Source organism: Homo sapiens, chromosome 3 (genome assembly GCF_000001405.40).
Source record: "Homo sapiens chromosome 3, GRCh38.p14 Primary Assembly".
Classification (NCBI taxonomy): Eukaryota; Metazoa; Chordata; class Mammalia; order Primates; family Hominidae; genus Homo; species Homo sapiens.
The window spans coordinates 170,581,015-170,597,464 of NC_000003.12; the positions used below are offsets into that span (position 1 = coordinate 170,581,015).

The 16,450-nt window shown below is 41.9% G+C and overlaps 1 protein-coding gene and 1 long non-coding RNA gene across 3 annotated transcripts in view, besides 1 other annotated feature; one reads left to right on the forward strand and one right to left on the reverse strand.

The window, feature by feature from the left end:
* SLC7A14 (solute carrier family 7 member 14) overlaps window positions 1–5,061 on the reverse strand; it is a 126,528-nt gene extending 121,467 nt beyond the window's left edge. The window contains exon 1 of the mRNA NM_020949.3: window positions 4,897–5,061. The gene's annotated coding sequence lies outside the window, so the exon portion shown is untranslated. The remainder of the gene's footprint in view (window positions 1–4,896) is intronic.
* SLC7A14-AS1 (SLC7A14 antisense RNA 1) overlaps window positions 1–16,450 on the forward strand; it is a 287,921-nt gene that overhangs the window by 113,730 nt on the left and 157,741 nt on the right. The gene's annotated exons all lie outside the window — the stretch shown is intronic.
* Window positions 3,546–3,840: a silencer, noted in NCBI's record as "tiled region #6075; HepG2 Repressive non-DNase unmatched - State 10:DNaseD, and K562 Repressive non-DNase unmatched - State 10:DNaseD". NCBI's record gives its function as "represses a minimal TATA promoter and a strong SV40 promoter by Sharpr-MPRA in HepG2 and K562 cells {active_cell/tissue: HepG2 | K562}" and the evidence as "EXISTENCE:reporter gene assay evidence [ECO:0000049][PMID:27701403]".

Below are 16,450 nucleotides of genomic sequence, written 5' to 3' on the forward strand. Positions count from 1 at the left end.
TGCCAGGTTTGGGAGTAAATGTTAGCCAGATGCATAAGGTTCTCCTAATGACCCCAACAGATTTCAACTTAGAGAATGAATAAAGACTTGTTATTTAAGGTTAGAATCCCTAATGCAAACTCAATAATTCAGTCAAGTTAATGACCTTCACTTTTGTTTTGGTTTAATCAATGCATGAAATAGAATTATTCTTGTTCTGATTGATCTATGAGAATGGATAGAAGCTCATTTCAATTTGTAATTAGTAAAAATATGTTTTGAAAATTATCCCTCTCACCCCCTCACACTGAGGAATATCCATAATGCTTGTATTTTGTTATTTCTGAACCCCTATTACCATGATGGGTTCATTATTGATGATTACTTAAAAACTATTAGTTAAAAGGTAAAAGCTGTTCCAAACAACTTAGATTTCCTAGTTATTATTTTTTTTAATCCTGAGAAGAAAATGTTCAGGACCAAATAAACTAAACAACAAACAATGCACGGTATTTCAATTAATAGAATCTAACCAATCAGAAATTTCAATAACTAAATTTTTTCTTCACCGTTCCACTTTTCAGTGAAATAAATGACCACAAAGGCAAAAATACAGTCATATCAGATTAAAATCATTCAGAAATGCATTCAGCCTGAACTACCCTATTTGTACATTGTACCATATCTATATAAAATAATAAACCATTGCAGATTCAATCATGCTCCTTACAAAGTACTTTCGTATACCTACACTTTGAGTTTTACAATAGTCCTTTGAGATAGTTATGGCAATTCTCATCAACATCTTAGAGATGGAGAAATGGAGCTCTAGAGGGCCTCATAATGTCACCAAGTAGTATGTGACACCTGTACTACTGACTCCAAGTCTTATATTCTTTCCATGTCTATCATACTATGATTACTAAGACAAGATAAACACACACACATGTTATTACATATACATGTAATCTATAAACTTGGATTTTGAATTGGAACTTTCAGATTGTATCTAAGTCAAAATTCATGAAACCAGCAAACCTCATTCATGGAATATTTTACTTTATAGTAACATAGAATTCATATGAAGCAAACTCCAGAGGCTACCAGCTCCTTAAGTAAGACATGCACACTCCTTCATAGCCTAATTGTCCTAGGTATCTTTGGGCTACTGGTGATGTATTAGGCATAAGTGGCTTTTTCTTTCTTTCTTGGCAGAAGATTCAAAGAAGAGTAGGTCCTTACTTCTTCCCAGTTCCTAGTTCTTGGTTGCTGTGAGGGTGTGTTTAGTACTGTCTAAAGCAGCATTTTTCAACACAACTTTCTTAAATGATAAAAATTTTCTGATATCTGCCCTGTCCAACACAGTTGTCATTAGCCATATAGAGTTATTGAGCACTTGAAATATGACTAGTGTGACTGGGGGGCTAAATTTTTAATTTTAAAAAGTTTAATTAAAATTTAATTATAAATAGTTACATGTGGCTAGCAACTACCATGTTGGACAGAGCAGTTCTAGACAGTTTAAGGTTCTGGTTCACAGGGCCCAGAGCACCTCAGCAATAGCATTCTTGACAGATCACCTAGTGAAGGTACAATAGAAGTTATGTATTTAATTACAAATTATACCTTAATTGGCTCTAGAGAAGGTTTGAAGCAGAATGTTGACATTATCAATAAGAAGCCATATGGGAATTTTTAAATAAGAGATAACAAATGGGGAGAATATGTTTGGTAAATATTAAGAGATGAGAGAGCAAAACAGTGTCATTTGAACTGAATTTGAATTTCTAAATGCTATGTTTTGGAGCAGGATGGAACTATCAATTAAATACAAAAATCCAATTGATGAAGATGAGACTTTACTATGAGCTGGAAAGAGAAGAAAGAGGAAATGAACAGAACATCAGGTTCTGCTGTATGTTAGAGCGAACTAGAATCCTAGGACCATCTTTAGTGGAGCCACCTACTTGACAGAATTGTGATAATTCAGTAAAATGATTGATGAAATAACTTCACATAGTGCCTCACATATGATAAGCATTTCATAGATATTAGCACTTATAATGATCTTTATTTATAAAAATCCTTAGGTCTTATTAGGGCCTTTTCCCAGTCCCTATGAGAACATGGGCAGTTGCTTAGGGTAACCAATTTTGGGAAAATTATTTTTTGGGGAATAGGTCATAGAAGAGGAGATATAGACAAGATAGGGCAAGTAAAGAAATGACACACTACCATTCCCATTTGTGAATTGCTGCTTCAGAGAAAACTGTTACTGAGGAAGGTGGGTCATATCTCCCAGGTATGTTGGGTTAGACAACACTGGAATAGTAGGACCAGAGGGGAAAGAGCTGGAAGACAAAGGAGTTGGAAGAAAGGTAAGAGGAATGCTTGTATGTTAAGTGTTTGTATTTTTGGCATGTTGTTTAATTTAGTTCACTGATGCTGACGTTTAGTCAAAGATAATCAAAGAAAGCAGTATGGAAGAGTATTTCAGACACCATGAAATAGTGGGAAAGGCCCTGGGCCTGGAATCAAGTTAACTGGGTTCTAATTTTTCAATCATGTGACTTAGACTAATGACCATCTTTTGGTTTCCAAGTTTTCTTTCTTGTAAAACGATGGTGCTAAATGATATTCAAAGCTATTCTAGTTCTAAAATTCAACAGTATAATTCTAAATATGAAAGTACATGTGGACTCTAGTTCTCCAGACTTCCTGAAGCCCTGCTACTCTTTTAGAAAAGGCTGCTGGTTTAGTTCTCTAACTTGTTTCCATAATATTGGAGCTGAAGTTGTGTGAACAGTGGTATCTCAAGCAGCATGCAAAAGCAGTTGGGAGGGTGGGAGTGCATGACAGTGAGTGGGTGAACGGATTAAAGAGAAAAGGGTTGGAAGAGAGGAGAGTGTGTGAAAGAGAAGAGCAGGCCTCCCTCCTTTGTCATTCTCCTGCTATAATCTCCAATAACAGCTATTCAGAGCCAAATACCAAAATGAAGGCATGAAAATGGCTTGGACTTTGAGTTAAATAGATCTGATTTTGAATCCAATCTCTGGAATCAAGTTTCTGTTTCCTTCTCTGTGTGATACTTTTGGTTGGCAGCTATTGTGAAGTTTAAATGAAATATTATTACCCAGCAGATAGAGGTGTTCAGTACAAATAGGCCTCCCCAAATTGGCTCAATCCTTTCCCCATCTTGCCCATAATATAAAAGACTAGCTAAAGAAACAAACATACAGGGCTGCTTAGCGATCTTTATCTAGAGCATGTAAATAACATGCAGTGGGGAAAGAAGGGTTCTAAGAAGAGGAAAAAGCTACAACCATGAAGCCCCTCCTTTGTGTAGCCTAACAATTCTCTGATTCCTGAAAGCCACAGAAATGTTTATTATCAAAACAGCATCCCTAACTGCCTTTCAACACTTTACCGACAGGAAGTCTCACTGCTCAGGTATAGGAAGTAGAACGAGGAAGCTCCCGAAGTTAGCAAAACTGGATCCTGAAGTGACACCCGCTTCCTGCTCTTCCACTCAGGAAAGCCGGGAACCTTTTCCCAAGCGGAGTCCTGGGGAAGCAGAAAACCGGGAAAGGCAAAGCCCCTTCTTCTCCTGTTTCTCTAGGTCGCTTGCTTAGAACCCTTTAGGGTTCTAACGCAGTTTCTGCTCGCAGGGAATGTGGGCCCTGGCGGTATTAGCACCCAGCCTCTGAGAACTTTCAGCACCGCGGACAGCGCCATTCCCTGCACTCAGTCGGAGGAGGAGAGCTACCTTGCCCCCAGCGCTCTCCTAGACCCTATACCTAGGGGGAGGCAGGGTGACATCCTGCGGCCCTTGGGCAATTCGGGCCAGTGACGTTCACCGACACTCAGGCGGGGATCCCTTCGCCAGAGCCAGTTCCTTTGAGTGTCTCCGCTCAAAATCTCAAGGAAACGAGCTTCACACAGGTGGGGGGATGAGGAGTGCCAGAACAGGAGCGAGCCCCGCTGCTCTAGCCTTCCTGCATCTCTTCTCGCCTTTGCTTTGCTCACTCTTCAATCGCAATATAAAATACTCATTTGGGGAGGGGGCAGGGTGACACAGGAGAGAGAAGGAGGGTGGGGGCTGCATCCCGCGTGGCCACGCAGCCCTAACCTGGCCCTCTTGGATTAGAGGGGAGCTGATGTGCTTTGGAATGGGAGAAGAGAGGAGACTGAGGGTTGAAGCAGTGCAGGAGAGCTCCCCTTGCTGGGGCTGCCGGCTCTGGGCAGGGAGCTTCCCTGGACACCGCTCCCGTCACGTCCTCTTCGCCGCTCCCGGGAGAGTCACCACTCTCCGGGGACAGACGCCCCTCGGGGCGCCACCATCCTGGTCGGGGTGCTGGGCTCGGCGGGAGTCCCTTTGAGGAGTTTGCTCCCAGGTAAAAGGGCAGACGTTGCTCCCGACCTCCCCGGAGTCTGCGGCCGGAAAAGCGTCTCCGTTTCATGGTCTCGGTCCGAGGCGGAGAACGGAGCTGCCCGTGCGGGGTGCGCGCCAAGGCGGGGGACAGGACGGGCCCGGCGTCTGCCGAGACCTAGGCTGCCCGCATTCCGCTCGCGGCTCCCCTTCTGCCTCCCGCTCTAGCGGCGCCGGAGCCGCGCTGGCCCCCGCCCCGCCCGGCAGCTCCCGCGAGTCAGAGCCCGGTGCCCCCAGACCGCGGGCAGTCGGGGCCTCATTCCGGGCCAGAGCAGGAAAGAGCCCGACCCACCTCCTCGGTTCTTCCAGGGAACCCCTTCTCGGAGGGCGCCCTGGGCCTCCGCGCCATATTCCTGGTCCCCCGCTCCCGGTGACTCCGGCTCCCTGGGTCATTCCGGGAGAGGCGGCCATCCCAGTTGCAGGGGTCCCGCTGGGGCGCGGGGGGCGCGGAGGGGGACAAACGGCAGCGAAGGGGGCCGTTCACTTACCGGGGTCGGGGCTGGAGGCGACGAGCTGGCTGCCAAGGCTGGTGGCTGGCAGTCCGCACTTACTGCGCGGAGCTGTCTCTCTAGCTGGGATGGGAAGTGGTGGTGGCGGCAAAGGAAGGCAGGAGGCAGCCGCTGCTGCTGAACAGCTCCTCAATTATTCAGATTGGGCCCCCACCCCCCGAACCCCTCCCCGTGCCTGCTCGTCCTCCCTCCAGCTCGCCTGTCTCCGCCTCCTTGGAGTCACATGGCCTGCCCAACCCCTTACATACTGGGCCCAAGCCTGGCACCAGACCACCTCCCACCTGGCCCCCCTGCCTTCCCCTCTGTCTGCCGCTCACAACTCCTCGCTGGCCTTCTGAGCCTCCAGTTGTGACCTCCAGTGTCTTATGTCAGGCTGCAGGGAGGTTGAGGGGGCCGTGGATGGGGGCAGTTCTTTGCCCTGGGAAAGCAGGGACCAGCAGGACTCTGCAATGTCTGTGCGTTGGGAAGGCATCTGCCGCAGCTCTGCCCCTGCTAGACTGGGCTGTCCAGACCTCCTTCCTGCCCTCTGGAAGCTTCCCTCATCCTCTGCGGAGCCTTCGTTGCTCTTAAACTTCCACATCCCTGAGCCCTACAGGAAAGAAAAAATGAGAGAGGTTGATTTCTCCTCTCCTCCTAAAGAAGACAAGACCCACCTCTGTCTTCAAAGCTTAAGTTTATCGTTGGGTTCACAACATCTTATGGGTGCAAAGATCATGGACTTGAGATTTGAAGAGCCATTAGGATTCCAATCTGTATGACCTTGGAGCATTTAACTTTCTAGCTTTTCTTCTCTCGTCTGTGAAATAACCACCTTGCAGTATTGTCATGAGATTGAGAAATCATCATGTTCTTAGAATTGCCTAGCCTAGAGTTGGACAGGTATTTGGAGCTCAATAAAGGAGAGTTCTTTTTCCCCCACCTTTGTTAAAATAAATTTCACAAGGCAAGAAGGATGTGATGTGTGCTAATACAGTGAAAGCATCTTTTAAACATGGAAGGAGGCATCTGTGAGGTCAGGCTAGACAAGTACCAGTCTAAACGGAGACAAGAGTGAGATAAGGTTTCTGTTTTGTATTAGCTCCTTTAAGATGAGTGTCCTAGAGCCAGGTTATGTCCCAAAAGGATTGGGACTAGATGGGACCAACCCAGGCATGCTTGGCCACATCACCGAATGAATTATTTAACAAGCATTGAGTAGACTGATTTGGATGAAAGTTATCTACATAAATTCTTGCACTTTGGCCCAAGCCCTCAAAACACATGGGAGGCAACAAAATGTAACTCTCCTATCCTTGGAAATGAATTCACTGGGCTTGTGTTTGGGGAGAATACTGGCTGACTGATACTCCTCTAGGGTGGAGCAGTTCAAATCTAGCTCTACTTTGTGGGTCTGCCCTGGGCTCTTCCCAGAAAGTTGCTTGATCATTGCCAGGACAGTCTTGGTTAGTCCACCTACCTCAAGCTTGTTACTGCCTTCGATGAGCATCTAAGCCTGACAATATCCCCATATTTTAAGCTTTGAGTAGTTCTGCAGGATATGTTAGACCTCCTGGGATCACCAAGAAGCTGTGAGACATTGTAGGAAAAGTGCAAAGTTAAAAAATCAGAAATTTGGAATCTCAGTGCAGGTTCTGCCAGCTACTTATCATATGATTTTTCACAAATCACTTAAATTGTCAGACTCTCATCTTCAGAATGGGAAAGGAATGTCTACCTGCCTTCTATATAAGATGGTTGTGATGTTTAGATGGGATAGCACATGAGAAGTCACTGTAAAAGGTAAAGAGTATGAATACTATGGGCTGAAGAAAACCCTGAGTCTATTCTAGTCCAAATGAATTATGAGGGTGATAAGATGGGAAGATGGGATTTGTCATGGAATATGCAGCTACTAAAATGTTGGTGTGTTGCTCTAAGTCTGCATGTATGCCTGTAGCTCAGGGGATGTGATTATTGGAGAACTGCATTCTTTGTTTCACCTTTTTCTGGATAAATTTCTGATTTAAATCTCCATATTTCCCTGGCCTTTTATTTCTGGAACACCAGCCACAATCACAATAGTTATGAATATTTACTATCTGAGAAAAGTTTGTGCCTATATTTCAAGACAGCAGGGTTTAGACTTTTCTGCCTTTGCTAGGTAAAATTGACTTGGGTTGGTAATTCAAAATGGCTTCGATTTCAAAGAAAAAAAATTTGGATTCTAGGAACAAACTCTAGACATTCATCAGCAGCTTGAATGATGATATGTGTTTCTAGTCCACTGCCAATAAACTCAATGAAATCCTCACACAAACCAGGAACTCCTGGAACCCTCCAACCTTAAGCAGATTCCAATCCTATCTCCTGGTGTACTTCCCCTTAATATTCTTTGGAAATTGCTAATCTGGACCTCTTTGTATTTAGGGAGACTAAAAGACCAGAAAGTGTCAACCATGCTTCTATATATACCACTGAAAAAATTGTCTGGGCTAGGTAAAATGCTGCTTCTGACTCCTGCCTACCTCTCCACTGACATCAAGAAACATGAGAAAGGGAAAAATAAGCATGAAATCATTTAATTTGGCCATGATGCCTTTATGAGCAGTTACCTGGACAAGCATAAATTTCAGAAAATTTTGAACAGTTTCACCAGAAATTGCTCAAGGACTCTGAATATATATTTTTTCAAAGCAGTTTTAAATGTCCAAGGCAACTTTACCCAGTGAAGAGCAGAAAAGGAAACTTAGAGAACCGATCTTGCATAGATTGCAGTAGAAAGTTATACCTTAGCAATGATTTCTTGTAAAGGTTTCCCTTGGGTCCTCCCTTACTTATAAGCTCTTGTCTTTTGCATGATGATTGTTGACTTTATCATAAGCCACTGCAAACACTTTCCAGCTGTAAGTAGAGCATTAATGAACAAAGAAATATAAATGCAGCAGACAAAAATTTAATTATTTAGAGCCATGCACAGCCGCAACAATTGGTGAAGTTCCAGAGTTCAACAATGATCTTACAAAGTGACTACTAACTAGATCTTTAAAGTACACATCCTTGTTTTCTTGTTCCTACAGTTGAAATGTGGAAGTGTTGATTCATGTATTCAACATATTCTAGACACTTAGGATACAGCCATGAACAATACAGAAATGGTTCTGCTCTCCTTGAGCTTACAGTCTAGAGCAGGGGGTCAGACCACAAACAAGTAAACAAAGCAGTGGAGATAAGTATCATGATGGAAATACAACAGAACAATATAATGAAGAGTAAAGGGGCACCACTTAAGTGATAGAGAACTAACATAAGCAAATGTGGGGCTCAGAGACAAAAGCGATTACTCTCCAGGGAAGCAGCAGAGCACTCTTATCTAGGGCCTTTTGCCAAAATAGGGTCATTAAAAGGGTAACGACTAAAATCCCTCATGACTGACCTGCTTGAATGGATGGTGGTTAAGCCATGAGGGAATTGGCCAGATGCCTTAAAAACAATTCTCCATTTTTGTCTCATGATTCATGAAAATGAGTACCTGATGCTTTCTTCTAGAAGGACCCCAAGCTCATCAGTGCCCCTGACTCTTGCCTCTGAGCAGATTCAAAACCTGAGAAACCAAAGACACTGTGATAGCCTGGCTAGAGGCTCGTCTGGAACTTTCCAAAGGGAGCAGTACCTTTGAGCAGCAGGAAGACAGAAAATAAGACACACAACCAGAACCTAGCATTACCATAGGCACACCATAAAGATCTATTAAACAAACAACCTGCTGCTAGGATCCTACCAATTGGACTGGAAATTTATAAGCAAATTATCTATGAGTAAATTATCCTCTAGGTATTTAAATTTCAAAAGGAAGAAGGAGGATGCTGACCTAAGCATGCTCATTTTATTCCTAAATTTACAATAGAATATAGCACTTTCCCCACTCCTACCCCATGCAGAGTAAATAAAGTTGCCTAATCAGTGAAACTATGGAGTCAAGACAGAGGTCAGGACTGTCAAACCAATGGAGTTCCTTGACATGGAAGGAATCGTTAAAGCAAACAGTTCTTCCCATTTATTATGTGTTTCCTTCCTTTAATTACATTCACTTTCCTAAATTAATTTATTTTAAAGAGGTTTTCATCACTACCTTAAATAGAAAACTGATATCAGTTGCCATAAATACAAGGCAACTATTTAAACAAACACAATGAGAATAAAACAATGCTATTATAGTCAAGATAAATACCTTTGCCTTCCCAGGAACCGAAGGCTTGCTTTCTCCTTGTTAAAAAGGAAATTAGCAGCTGTTAGTGAGGTGTTAAAGACATTGACATCAAACTGTCTTTCTCCATAAAGTAACCAAAAAGATTGAATGATAAGTGGAAAAGGGATAACCTTCCCACTAGGTGATTACAGGCCATTTAATGTTGAGTCCTAGTACCATCTAAATCAATATTTCTCTAACTCTAACGTGCATAGAAATCATCTAGGGAACCTTGTTAAAAATGCATAATTAGATTCAGTAGGACTGGGGTGGGACTCAAGAGCTCGCATTTCCAGCACAATCCCAGTGACACTGATGCTCCTGATTCTTGGACTACTCTTTGAGTAGCAAGGATCTTTGAATAGCAAGTGCCTTTGATGCTGTATTTTCCATATTTTGGGAGATACTAGCTCTTATTTTAAAGATGAGAAAAGTTAGGACTCAGAGGGTTTGACTAACCTCGGTTAGTTTTCTTGTTCTAACAAGTGGAATGTGGAAGTGTTGATTATTTATTCAACATATTCTAGACACTTGGGATACAGCCATGAACAATACAGAAATAGCTTTGTATTAGAACTATTTAGTTGGTAGGTGAGCCAGAGCTAAAACTTACATTTCACAGATCTGTCTCCAAGTCTGGGTGCTCCTTCCCAAAAGATCTGTAAAATATCTTGCTTACTAGGGCCAAAAACCCACCCCTTTTCAAGGGGCCACAACATGAAGGCCAAGGCTTAGACTGCTATATTCTATAGGTTATTCTGTGTAAATACAAAATAAAAGCCAATACTTGGACTGTTGTATTCAATATGTTAGTCTGTGGTAATGTACATGCTCAAACTTTCAGTAGTTTGAAATAACAAAAGTTTATTTACTGTTCACATTATGCACCCACTGTCAGTCACTGTGGGCTCCGCTCCATGTAGTCACTCAATACTATCTTATGATGTCCTGTCTCAGCCTAACGCTTCAGAGTTCACCCTGGGTGGCAAGACCAGGGCTGAAGGACCTTGTACCAGCAACTAAATGCTCTGTGCTGAAAGTGATGCACATCACCATGGCCCACAACTCATAGTCCAGGATGGCTCATATGACCCCACTGCAATCACAAGGTGAGTAGGGAGGAATAATACTTTCTTCTACATGTAATGAGAGTAGAATCAGATAAAGTAAACGGTAAAAGTCTCTACCATATAGGTTTTTTTTTTCCATCACTAACAGTCCTTGATTCTGTCCTCTCAATTACTCTTCTCTTAATCTTTCCTAACTAAGTTTCCCAGAACAATGGGCCACCATTTGTCCATTTTTCCCCGAGTTCTCATCATACATAGGGAAAAGGCAGGCAAATGGCAGCGGGAATGCAGAATGTCATTTTGGTGACAGCAGGGGCATCAAAAGAGGTAGGTCAGTCAGGGAAAGTGGTCGGGGTGATTGCAGGGGAGAGGGGGCAGAGAAAAAGGGAAGGAAAGAAAACTATCACTTCTTGAGGGCCTACTAAGTGTTAGGCCCTGTATTAAGACATTTAAATAATTTTGTACTCATAATATTCTTGTCAAGTTGTTATCATCCTGCTTTACACACAAGGAAACAGAGGCTCAGAGGGCTTATATAATTTTTTAAGGTCAAAATAGAGAATAAATCAGGATCAATGCCAGACTGCAAATTTAGAATCTCTCCCAGGAAGTCTAAGAAAGGGAGCCAGGCAGCACTGGCTCTGGAGAATGGGCCACTTGTTCACATTGACATTGGAATTCCTGAGATTTGGCTTTGCTGTATTAGGCATGTGCAGACAAACAGCTGAAACATCCAAATTCTATAGTGGCTACTACATGAGATGCCACAGTCTTCCACTGAGGAGAGATGTATACATGAGTTCCCATCATGCTACAAGTTGATTCCACTCCCCATTCTTTTTCACCACATGAAAACGTCTCTTATGTCAGTATATCTGACATAAGAGCAATGGTTGCAGTAAATAATCTAAGGATATGATCAAGCAGGCATTCCAAACGTACAATTAAAAATCTATAATAAACATTAGGAAAAACTTTGCAATATATTAAGAGACCTATCTCACAGTATAGAAGGGAATAGATGCTTGGAAGTTTACCCTGTCTGGGCTGTAGGAGGATATGATATTCACAGCTAGCATGGGTGTTGGGGAGTCGTTCTCTGGAGCCTGAGAGTGATGGGGTCTAGAATTGTCCCATATACTGCTGAGATCATGGTGGGAAGGAGCAGGGAGTCAAACTGACCTAGGTTTGTATCCAAACTCAACTATGAATTAATGATGTGTTATTTGGCAAATCATTCCAGTTTTCTGAGGCTCAGTGTACTAACCTCTGAGAGGGCATAATAATGCCTGACTGTAGAATTGTGAAGTTTGGAAATAATATGCATAAAGTGCCTGGTGGTTATCATTGTTCAATATTGATGACTATTCTTTGTGTTGTTAACAATAAGAAGATGGATATGAAGGGGACTAAATAGGCTCAGCCACTATCTACTTGAGTGAGCTCAGCCATGGCAGCTCCCCATGCTGAGTCTCATTTATTCTTCACAAAAATGAGGGAATGGGAATAGGTTTCTTCAAACAACTCTTCCATTGACTCAACACTACAAGCCAAGAGTTGTGTGGTTTTCCCGGGGCAGGGTAGGGAGTAGTTCTGGTGAGCGGCCACACTGAGTGCAGCAATGAGAAGAGTGCCAGCTCATGCTGAATAAAGGAGACCCTGGGCCCACTGGCAGAGTTCCCGAGCCTCAGGTGTTGCAAACTTCATTTTCTGGCCATTGCCACCAGCCAATGACTCATTACAACAAGAGACAATGAGGAAATGACCACAGGTCAAGAAGTAGCCTTTTAAGCCAACTTTGCATGTATGAAAGGTCACATTGTTGAGGAAGCATTCACAGCAACAGCTTTGAATACAAAACAAAAATGTCAACAAGCACAGACAGAATTGGAGGGAAAGAAATGATGCTCACTCTAATGGGATTGTTAGCTTGCTCCAGTCTTGGCAGTCCATGTGATTGCCACCAAGTGCATAATGTATTATACTTGGTAGTGGGCCAATTATGTCCGCAGCAAATTCCCTTTAGGAGATGGATAAGCAAATCGCTACGCTCTGAGTAAGCATCCATCGTGTAAAACAGTGATTATTTTATTGTCAGCCTTCTAAAGATATGTATTCACCTGCTGTGTATAAGCTTTCTCCTATTTAATTCAATGACTTTTAGAAAATGAGAGTATTTTATTTTTTTACTCATTTCTTAAAGCTCTTAAGAAGACCAAAGACTCTGCAAAGTGTTCCAGTACATTAGATGAAAATGATGAGACAATTTAGAAACAGGAATTAAGTTCCAGTCTTTATCTCCTCCAGGTCCCAGCTGGGGAAGACCTAAATCATCAACCAGGATGTCTCCTTCCAGAATCCTCAGGGAAGGAGAGTTCACAGCTTGGCTGCCCTACTCCCCCTCCTTCCACAAAATGTTGTAGTGTTTAATCATCCTTGCATTAAGGTTTCCTAAGTCTTATTGTTTCAGGTACCAAGAGTGCCTTTAAGATGACTGAGGGCGAAAACCAGTGTGTTCTGATATGAGGATTCAGTCATTCCACCTGAGTAGCTGCTCCCTGCAGCCACCTGTCTTCAGATTGGCCAATCATTCTGGACTCTGGCCCCTAGCTCTGTGGTCAGCTTGGTCCAGGTCATCTTCCCCATGTGGCTTGGAGGAATTTCTAGCAAACTCCTGGATTTTGAAACATGACTTGGCCTCTTTGACCAAGTCCTGAACCAGACACCAGCTCACTGCCTTCCAGGTCTGATCCTGTAGATTCCTCATTTAATCATCCAGCCAAGCCCTGTGTTATTGTAGAGGAGGCACACTAAATTATTTCTTATTTCAATCTGTGTTTATATATTGGTATTCAATCGAGGCTTTATCTATTAAAATTGTGATCAAATAGGAGGCACTTATTTCATGGATTATGCCATTATAAGAAATAAGGATGGCTTCACTTACACTTACTGTCCCATAATCATCATTGCAATGGTTTGCTTCATCCACGAGGTCTGTTTCCAGTGTTGTGCTTCTCTGCATGTTCTTTGGGATCTCCATCTTCTGATTTGAAGATATGGTGAGGATGATGATGATGACAGTGCAATAAAAATGTCTGTGGCTTCCTTCTCACTCCCCATTCCCTAATCCCCATACCCTGGCTTTATTGGCTGCTGCTGTGTTCACTATGTTTAATGTTGGGAACATTTGTATCAATTAAGGTATCATCGGAAGTACTTTAAACTATAATGGGAAATGAGGCAAACTTAATCCTATCTCACAATAGCTTAAAGGCTGTCATTGTTTTGTCCAGAACAGATGCTGACAATGGCTGGTTTAACAAGCAAATACCCATCTCCTTTGAATTCTATAAGTAAGATTTGCCATCCCTGATTCTTTATTAAATGAACTCTGCATAAAACTTGGGTCATCTCTCATATGCTAATGCTTTCAGCTGGTTGGGAATCCTTATCAAACAAGAGAAATTGGGTCAGTGTGAAAGAGAGCAATGATAGAATGTTTGCCTTACTCAGAAAGGTGACATGACCTCTGGCTTTGAAAAGGCAGTGTGTCTATCAAGGGAATAGCATTGAATATATTTTGAGAATTAGGCCTTTTTTCATATCTGGTAAGTGGATTACAAGATAAAGGAATCTCAAATTATATATATTGTGTATATGTTGGTCTAGGTTGGAAGAGTGATGGCAAAATAACCACCAATGATGTGAAAAATGGAAATAACTGCTGTGGCCAGAGGTCTCCCCTGATTAGGCTAGGGCTAGTTTAGGATCTTTGTGGAGGAAATGCTTATGTGGACAAACAGAAAAAGATGCTAATTAAAAAGCATTTCATTCTTTTGGTGCATGTTATTTCAGCCTCAATAGGAAGGCTAGAAGACTTAATTTTAAAACAATTTTATTGTAGTAAAATATATATAACACAAAGTTTACCATTTTTAATCATATTTAAGGATACAATTTAGTGGCATTAACTATAGTCACATTATTGTGAAACCATCGCCACTATCCATCTCTAGAACTTCATCCCAAACTGAAGTTCTGTACCCATTAAGCAAAAACTTTCCATACCCTTCTCTCCCAGTCCCTGGCAACTAGCATTTTACTTTCTGTCTCTATGAATTTGACTACTTTAGGCCCTTCATATTAGTGTAATCATACAGTATTTGTCCTTCTGTGATGGGCTTGCTTTACTTACCGTAATGTTTTCAAGGTTCATCTATGTTTGCAGCATGTGTCAGAATTTTCTTCCTTTTAAAACTAAATAATATTCCATTGTGTGCAAATAGCACATTTTGTTTATCCATTTATCTGTTGTTGGGCACTTGACTTGCTTTCACATTTTAGCTATTGTGAATGGTGCTGCTATGCACATAGGGGTACAAATACCTCTTTGAGATCCTGCTTTCAATTCTTTTGGGTATATACCAAAAAGTGGGATGACTGAATCATATGATTATTCTATGGTTAATATTTTGAGAAACTGTCATATTCTTTTCCACACTGGCTGCACCATTTTACGATTCTCCCAGCAATGCCCAAGGATTCCAATGTCTCCTTATCATTGCTAACATGTATTTTTTTTAATAGCCATCCTAAATGGTGTGAAACCAAAGACTTTAAAAACAAAAATTATATGGCTAACACTTATTGGGTGCTGACTAGGTGGCAAATGCTCTTCAGGAAGGTCATAGATTTCAGTCATTTATTGACTAACTTAGCCAAAATAAACTTTGAATGACAAAATTAAAGGTAGAATCTGACCTATGCATTCTGCAGAGAGAACTTCTCAACAGTTGCCCTGTGGCCGTTTGTTCAACAGACATCAAACAAACATTTCCTGAGAGCCTACTATGTGTGTGTTAGCCAGGCTAAGCCTTTGTGATAAAAGAAAAAAGAGGAGGAGTAGAGCTACCTAAAACCCTGAGTCATTTAATAGAACTGAGAAATTCTTCTGTGGTGTAGGCCCTGGGGTTTTGTGTATGAATGAAGGGTACACAGAGCTAGGAGGACGGTTGTTGTCCAGCAGTTTGCCAGTCTTAATGTGGTCTATAATTGAGTGGGCAGTGAGGGGAATGTGGCTGTGACCTGGACTTTTTAGTCTTCCCTGGAAATGGTCCTCTAAATTGGAGGCACATGTAATGGAAAGGTCAGGGACTTCAGGCATAGCTGGGTCCAGGTGCTGAAAGAGCATGATTAGGTATCTGCCTTTATCTCTCAGCTCTGTTTGTTTCTGAGTTAGCTTCATCCTTAGTCAAACTCTCCTCTAAGGTGGCAAATGGCTCTGGGCTCACTTAAAAAAAAAAAAACAAAAAAAAGCAGATTAACACCTCCAGTGGAAGGAGAGTACCTCTTTTCCAACAGTTCTAGCACAAGTCCAGAGCTGACTCTCATTGGACTGACTGGGGTCATTTGCCCATTCCTTAAGCAATCACTAAGTTCAGGGAAATGGAATATGATAATTGTCTGATTTATATCCTGTGCCCACCAAAGTTCTGGAAGGTGGGGTTAGTATCACATAAATCACATGGAGTGGGAGTGGGGTTGGGACATGTTACCAGAAGAAGGAGAAAAAGATCCTAATCAGGTGAAAACATTCTCCAAACTTTATTGACCATGGAATTCTTTTTCTTGAAGTTACTATCCAATAGAATGCAGTCATAAGTTATCCAATTCCCAAATCATTTTGCATAATAATCATGGTCTTGTGCTTAGAGATTCTTACCTGACCCCATTAATGTCATGTGTAAATAAGGACAAAAAGTGTATTGCCTGATTTTTGACACCCCTAAGAACTGCCATATTGATAATAATAATGAATGAATTTTTTTCTTATAGCACCACTCTGCATTTCTTCAGTGCTTTATACTTTATCGAGTTTTTCTTCTGCATACGATCTTATTAGCTCTTAGATGACATCAACTGGAGTCAATTATACAGTCTGGAGTCAACTAACAGACATCAGTTTTCTTGCCATTAGTTGGCAAAATATCATACCTGATTCCCAACTCCCCTTAGCTCAACCTGCCACCTCGCTGGAGTACAAAACTCTTAATGAAGATGTTAAGTGTCCTAATTAATTTTGTCTTTGTGAAAATGTTTTTATTTTAGTGCCATAAAAAAAGAAAAAGAAGAAAAAAAGGGTTCCCAGCAAACATCTTCTCCACTCTCTTTGGCCTGGATTAGGTTATATACCCCCTCCAAACCAAAAGCTCTAACCAGATGTTTGAATTATGCT